General features: G+C 35.8%; 1 annotated feature.

Moving 5' to 3' along the window:
• Nucleotides 1-295: an enhancer, noted in NCBI's record as "tiled region #13337; K562 Activating DNase matched - State 12:CtcfO, and HepG2 Activating non-DNase unmatched - State 4:PromP". NCBI's record gives its function as "activates a minimal TATA promoter and a strong SV40 promoter by Sharpr-MPRA in K562 cells, with weak activation in HepG2 cells {active_cell/tissue: HepG2 | K562}" and the evidence as "EXISTENCE:reporter gene assay evidence [ECO:0000049][PMID:27701403]".

Raw genomic sequence — 8,600 nt, forward strand, 5'->3', positions numbered from 1 at the left:
GTTTTGTGTAAGTATACTCTACAATGTTTGCACAATGAGGAAATCACCTAACAACGCATTTCTCTGAGTTTGTCCCCGTCATCAAATTGCGCGTAACTGTTTTGCTTTGATGCATTGGAAATATAACTGGCCATGCCTAGAGCAGCCAGTAGGGGGCATTTGCTATCCTTCCAAAAAACCCTGCTCTCACTCAGAAATCCTGTTTCCTCTCCAGTTCCCAGAATTACCAGATAACCAGTAGATCATCGTTTTTTCATACCCAGTAGACCATCGTCCCCCCCACGACCCTTGTTTCAGTCTCTTATCACATCCTTCCTGGCATACAGAATCAGCTGTGATACGAGTGAGGACACCTGAAGAATCTTGCTCTGTTTTACAGGCAAGAGGATGACACTAAAGCAAAGCAGTCTTCATCATCGTGTAATAGCGCAAGACCACCACTAGATGGAAGCATAGGATACACATTCTCATCCAAATTACTATTGTCTCGAATTTGCCTCCTTAGGAAAACTTTCTTATGTAGTATTGGTAAATGCAAATTATTCAGCACTTGTAGTGAATAATTTTCACTTACCAATACTGGCAGAATGAACTGAAAAGATTAATGATATAATACCAAATGATTCAGATAAAAAACCCACACACCCCGTTATTGAGGAAAATGCAATTATTTACCTCGAATAATTGACTAATGAGGTTTATTGGTTTCTCTGATTGAACACTAATTTATTTTTAAGATTTCACTTTTTACCTACACCTAAGAACAGCATTTTGTTTGTGGGAACGGTAAGAGACAGAGGTGAACATTGTAGAAAAATAAGCTTTCTATTAGAATGAAGTACCTGTTATGAGTAAAGTTTCTAAAGGGCACTAAATAAAACACTAGGGCACATGGCTCTGGGACTGGATATGGTACTTACTGCATGATTTTTAAAAAGTTTCTTAAACTTCCTGGACTTCAATTTCCTCTTCTGTATTCATTAAGCACATGTATGTAGGTGACTTTTGAGACCCCTGAGGAAGCAATAAAACACAGTGGTTAAGAAGAGACAATAGCGATAATCTTTATTGGGATATTTGGTGTCAGTTTTTGTGGGTACAAACATCTATTCTTCCATTTACTACTTGTCTGAACATTGAAAATGACCTAAGATTTTTTGTTGAGTCAGTTACTTTATATATAGTTAAGAGGAATAATACTAGGACCTATCTTTTAAGGTTAAAGTCAGAATTTATGAGACTGTATGTTTAGCACAATGTTTGATACATTGAAGATACCATAATTGACAAAATTAATATCAGCTATCAATCTCATGCATCTTTATTAATGTAGTATGATCTTCCAATGTTATGAATTTCATTAAGATTACCAATAAGGTCCCTGTTTTCCAGGATTGAGATTTTGAGTCATCTTTAATTACTCCCTTTCAAAATCTTTCTTCGTTTTTTGCTTCAGAGCTACTTTTGCATTTTCCTGCCCTTTGTATTTCCATTGCCACCTGACCTTTTTGTCTCTAATATTAATATATCTCCCTGGGCTCCAGTGCTGCCACTGCTATGCATGCACCTACTTTCTGGGCCCTGGTACCATTGAGAAATATGCCCATATTTCTCAGAGAAGACTCCATCTGTGGGAGAAATGGAGAACAGAAGGGCCCAAGAAACTATTGCTGCTGCCATGGACACCCACAAATTTTGCCATCAAGTGCCCCCATAGTATTTGCTGACACTGACCTCAGCTGATGCAGCTGTTAGAATTTCATACCAATGCACCACCTTAGAGTAGAAGCTGCTGCACCCCATCTGACCAGCACCCTTGTACCCATCTGTGGTGAAGATCTTTCCCAACTGAAGCCTATCTGTAAGGTCTGGAAGAGGTAACTCCTTGTTCAAATACACACACATCAAAGCAAGGCTACAAAGAACTGGAAAAATCAAGAAAACATGATAACACTAAAGGAATACAAAAAAATCCACTAATGAATCCCTAAGAAATGAAGATCTACAAATTTCCTGACAAAGAATTAAAAATAATTGTTTTAAACAAGCTCAGCAAGCTACAAAATAACAGATTGGTAACTTAGTGGAATCAGGAAAATAATATATGAAAAAAATGAGAAGTTGAACAAAGAGATGAAAATCATTAAAAAGAACCAAAGAGCAGTTCTGGAGCTAAAGAATACAATGAGTGGAATGAAAAATGCAAAAGAGGGTTTCAACAGCACACAGTTAAGCGGAAGAATCTGCAAATTCAAAGAGAGATCATTTAAAATTATCCAGTCAGAGAAGAAAAGAAAAAAATAATGAAAAAGGGTGAAGAAAGCCTATGGGATTTATGGAATACCATCAAGTAAACCAATAAATGCATTATGGAATTTTAAGGAAAACAGACAGAAAAAGGGAGCAGAAAGCTAATTTAAATAATAATGACTAAAACCTTCCTAATTTGGGGAAGATTTGGAAATTGTGAATCCAGATTCAAGAATCTCAAATGTTTCCAAATAGGTTCAACTTAAAAGAGAACATACTGAGATACATTGTAATAAAATTGTCAAAAGTTAAGGACAAAGAGACTTTTAAGGGAAGCAACTCATCCTATGTAAAGAAAACCCTGTGATACCACTAGTGGATTTCTCAGCAGAAACCTTGCAGGCCTGGAGAGAGTGAGATGACATATTTGTAGTACTGAAAGAAAAAAAAACATACTGGTTAGCAAAAATACCATTCCCAGAAAAATTATTCTATAAAAATGAAGGAAAGATAAAATCTTTCCTTGAGAAAAAAAATGAGAGAATTTATCACCATTAGACCTGCCATATAAGAAATACTAATGAGTATTCTTAATTAAAATGAAAACACATATATACAACCAATGAAGACTAAATCTGAAAATTATAAAGAACTGATGAATGGAATTAAAGAAGAAACAGATAAATGAAAAGACATCCTTTGACCTTGGATGGGAAGAATTTATATTGTGAAAATGCACATATTTTCCAAAGAATTCTACAGATTCAGTGCAATCCCTATCAAAATCTCAGTGGCATTCTTTACAGAAATAGAAAAGCATTTTAAAATTCATATGAATCTACCAAAGACCCCAAAGCTATCCTGAGCAAGAACAAAGCTGGAGGCATCACACTTCCTGATTTCAAAATATACTACAAAGCTATAGTAATTAAGACAGTATATTACTGACATAAAACAGACATATATACCAATGGAACAGAACATAGAGCTAGAAACAGATCCATATGATTAACTGATCTTCCACAGGGTGACACAAACACATAATGGGGAAAGAACGGTCTGTTCAATGAGTAGTATTAGAAAAACTGGATATCCACCAACAGAATGAAATTAGACCTTTATCACACATCTTACACAAAATAAACTCAAAATGGATTACATATTTAAACATAAGACCCCAAATCATAAAGCTCTTAGAAGAAAACATAGGGGAAAATCTTGACATTGGTCTTGGCAAAGATTTTTGTATATGACCCCAAAGGCAAAGGCAATGAAAGCAAAAATGGACAAGTGGGATTGCATCAAACTAAAAACCTCTGTACAGTGAAGAAAACAATCAACAGAGTAAAAAGGCAACCTACTGAATGGGAGGAAATATTTTCAAACCATACATATGATAAAGTTGGAGGTTAATGTCCAAAATATGTAGGGAACTCACACAACTCAGTAACAACAGAACAAATAACCCAGTCAGCAGTCAATTATCCTCAATCAAATTGGGAACTCCACTGCCAACCCAAATAACCCAATAAAAAAATGGGCCAAGGATTTGAAAAGATATTTCTCAAAAGAAGCCATACAAATAGCCAACAGGTATATAAAACAATGCTCAACATCATAATCATCAGGAAAATGCAAATTAAAACTGCAATGAGATATTACCTCATACCTATTAGAATGGCCACCCAGTGGCCATTGTGGCATCTGGGTGATAGTTTGTCTCTTAATTCAGTTCTGAAAGTTTAAGATCTGATCCATGCACACAAAGATTAAAGGTGAGCCAGGAGTTCATAAACAACTTAATGGGGTTGCTTTCCCAATCTCCTCCCTCTCTGAAATCTGCTGAGACCAGCTCGGTCTGGGAGACCCTAATCCAGCGGCGCTAGAGGAATTAAAGACACACACACAGAAATATAGAGGTGTGAAGTGGGAAATCAGGGGTCTCACAGCCTTCAGAGCTGAGAGCCCCAAACAGAGATTTACCCACGTATTTATTAACATAAACCAGTCATTAGCATTGATTCTATAGCTATTAAATTAACTAAAAGTATCCCTTAAGGGAAATGAAGGGATGGGCCAAATTGATTGCAGCAGGAACATGCCCTTAAGACACAGATCGCTCAGGTTTTTGTTTGTGGCTTAAGAAGGCCTTTAAGTGGTTTTCCGCCCTGAGCGGGCCAGGTGTTCCTTGCCCTCATTCCCGTAAACCCATAACCTTCCAGCTTGGGCGTTATGGCCATTATGGACATGTTACATTGCTGCAGAGATTTTATTTATGGCCAGTTTTGGGGCCAGTTTATGGCCAGACTTTGGGGGGCTTGCTCCCAACAGAGATCTCCCTCTAATTTCCCAATTTCCTGGACCCCTCTTTTCTTTCCTGTGGCAAGAAAACTGGGACTTTTATTATTTGATGTGCATCTTCACTTGGGGCCAAGTGGCTAAAGGTAACAGGTGTTATCATCTTTTATGACAGAAAAATGACATTTCTTCAGTATTGTCTAAAGTTAAACTTTGTGCAGTGATATACTAAAGGCTGGATTGTAGAATTGATCTCTCTTGTGTGGTAGCAATAAGGAGGATTCATTATTCATGGGAAATTTTAAAAGAATAATAAAATTGATCAAAAGTAGTCCTGATTTTTATTATCATCAATTTCCAGCAATTAAAAAATGTCAGTAATAAAATATCCACCCCTAAAAAAGTATTTTGTTGGTTTAAGTTTCAAAACATTGCTACACTTCCTATTATTACTCCTATGTATTGTGTTTCAATTTTGAATGTTTTATTGCATAAACATAGTAAACATTACATTCTATTTAGAAGTTTATTCAGAGAACTTCCAGCTTTACGTTTGCTCTAGTCCCATGAGAATTCAGCTATATGACTCCTTTTAAGAGTAAATCCATAACAGTTTGGAATTATTTTGGTTGCATTTCTGTGTCTCCAATACCATTGGTATTACACATTCCTACATTTAGGTGTTGGAATAAAAGTAATGATAGCACATTGATTATAGAGCTAAATAGAATTCGAGTTTCTTTGATTTTGTCATTGTATAGGATAACTTGAAATGTTATTTGCATTTAAAATTTACAACTGCAAACTAGAATGCAAATTGCAAGGTGTAATGTTTTTGTTTGGAAAGTATATTTTAGTTCTTCAATCAACTATAAGTGAAACTATTGATGAACCTAGTTATGGCATCTATTGTATATCAATACATAAAGAAGACACATTTTGGGAAAATCATTCACAAATTTGCAAAAGTGAGACGTGAAAACAGAAATTAATATTAATTATCACTGTGACAGATCAAAATGTAAATGTATTAGTTTTCTGTAAAAAAATGTAATTAAAGGAATTAATCTGTTGCTTTTTCATGTTTATACTGTAATTAAAAAGATTTAGTATCATAATATGAAGTCCAATAAATGAAAATTTTCATTGTTTGCATTATTTTCCTGATCATTATTTGTTTTATTTTATTTTGTGATTATTACTGAGGATATTTTTGTGATATAGAGGAGTTGTTAAGAAATCATCAACTACATCTGTCAAATAAGCTAGTTATGCTACTCACTCTGTTTATCCCATGAAATAGCAGTTGCTCTCTCTTAGGTGAAAAACCCAGGGAAATGAGGGCATATGTCCACTGAAAGACAAATTCATACTTGTTCAAAATAACCAAATACTGGAAACAACCCAAATGCCCATGATCTGGAGGGTGGATAAACTGTGGTGTTTTCACAAAATGGACTACAGCATGATAGTAAATTCATTAAACTAATGGTACACAATGACATGGATAAATCTCAAAAACATTATACAGAGTCTAATAAGCCAGCCGCAAACACCTACTATAAAGTTTCATTTACAAAAACAGGCAACACTACTATGACAAAAAAATCTACATTTACAAATGATTTTCTGTAAAATAGCTTGATTTACTTTTGATCGACCTTATCCTCTTATGAATATATTCAGCTCATAGCATTTTTTTCTTCCAGATACAGCTAAAAATAAAAAAGCCAAAGAATAAATCTGGTTTCCATTGACCTCTGAGTATGTGAATGGCTACATGATTCCTCTTATAGAGCAGCCTGATCCACCCATATGCCCCCTAAGACATATTCCTTAAAATATTCTTATGGCCATCCCATATAAATTTTGCTCTCTTAATCTATCCATTCTTCCGTCCATGATAGTTTGCATTTACACAAACTTCTACCTTCCTCCTCTCTTGCTTCTTCTATTCTCTTCCTCCCCTCCTTCCTCCTTAATTTCTCAAATATTAATCTTTTATATTTTAGGACTTTTTGACCATTCAGATGGGCATTGCTCTGTTCTTGTATTATTCAAGTTTTTTTTTTTTTTTCGGTCCTCACATTCATGTTTATCTTCTTCAAGGCATTCCAGAAAGGCATGCTATACCTTGCACAACTCTAAAATTATCTGAAAATATATTTTTTCAGACTCTTCTGATGCCTAGGACTTCACGTCCTCTGTGTCTCCCAGAGACTTCAAATTCTAGAAGACTGATTAAAACCTGAAATGAAGATTGACTTTTATTTATTCAGGACATGAATAACCACTTTTCCAGTAATTGATATATTTTATTTTTTGTGATTACTAAGAATTATATATTTGCCAATCTTATTAGCAAATCCAACAAAAAGGCCTAAAATAATTCAGTTGAACTGATAAAATGATAGCTTCCTTTCCTTTCCTTCTCCTTTCCTCCCATATATTGAGTATAATGTTTCATTGAAAAGAACAACTTGATACATTGTTCCAGCTATGTCTTACTATCTAGCAAGATACACCAACATTGAGAGCTTAAAAGACAATTTACTTTTGTATCTCATATTTCTTTGGGTTGACATAGCTGTGTAGCATGCTGTTGAAGTCAGGCTTTTCCTGGAGATACAGTCATCTTAGGGGGCTCCTGGGCTAGAGGTCAAGATGGCTCCCTCATATGGCTGACAGTAGCTATTATCTAGTAGCTCAACTTGGGCTTAGACTAGAGTGCCTGTACCTTACCTCTTCATGTATCCTGAGTTTCTCAAAGTATGCAAGTTTGAATCTAAGTGTTAGCATCAAGAGACTGAAGCAGAAGTGGAAGACCTAACTGTGGAAGTCCCACCAAATAACTTTGGCTGCATTCCATTGGTAAAGCAAGTCATTAAGCTCAGACTAAATTTAAGGGGAGGGGATTTAAACTTCCCCTTTTAATGGGGGAGTGCGAAGGCCACATTGCTAAGGAGCATGTAAGATAGAACATATTGTTGCAGTCATATCTTGGAAAATAAAATCTCTCATGCCTACTATTTTTAAAAATGAAGACCCAGTGAATTACTTTATGACAGTTTAACAAGTCTATTACTTTTCCTAGTAATTACCAGTGATAGTGAGTTGAATAGGTATAAAACCACAGAGCCTAGGACAGGGCCTGGCATATGGCAGGTGCTTAAATACATGCTTGATAAAGGAAACACATAGTCTTAGTTGTTTTAAATGCATTGATGTAAGATTTATGCATATCATAACCTTAGAGTGGGAAGAGAATTTATTTATTTTCCAGACATATAAATATATGTCAGGCATTTGTGAAGAGTTACCCTGTGCACTGAGTACCAATTTGTCAGCCTGGTGAGACAGAACACCTAAATATACTATAAATTCCATGAAGCTAATTTATTACTTGCAGATAGTTATAAAGGGACCACAGAAGGCTCGGATTCATGATAAGCCAGTCTCCCAAGGCTCAGGAAAGCTTCCCAGACTGAGTGGAGTATTGTCTGTGCATGCCCTGCTTGCACCACAGCTGAGAGACCCTAGAAAGAAGCCTGCCCTGGTTTATATCCTGGGAGATTATATGAATTGCTGGGACAAAGCCTTGAAGGATGTCCTGTTTCTAGGAGGGACTGGAACAGAACCCAGGTTGTTCCAGCAGGTTCCTCCTTATTTCAGGATGAGGCATACCCAACACTTCTACAGTTATTTACGAGACTACAAGCAAGGAAAGGGAGAGAACTAGGTTGTTTCGAAGCCACCTGGAGAACTATCTGGCAATATTTGTATCACGTTAATATATTATCTCATTTAAGTTAACATAAACCAGGTGGGGTAAGTACTAATCTTCAGATTTTGAATTATTCTTTATTCTTAATAAGAAAGTCTCACTCATATTTAAATATTACTTCAAGGTTTTTAAGTGGTGTTCATCTGAATGATTTCATCCTTTCAACAGCTTTGGGAAGATGGAAGGGAGGTAGTGTTTCCTTCCTTTACAAGGGAGGCAGCCTAGAGAAGTAGAAAAACACAAGATTTCAAATCCGAAGCCTTGTTAT

This window comes from Homo sapiens, chromosome 3 (assembly GCF_000001405.40).
Source record: "Homo sapiens chromosome 3, GRCh38.p14 Primary Assembly".
In the NCBI taxonomy this organism is placed as follows: domain Eukaryota; kingdom Metazoa; phylum Chordata; class Mammalia; order Primates; family Hominidae; genus Homo; species Homo sapiens.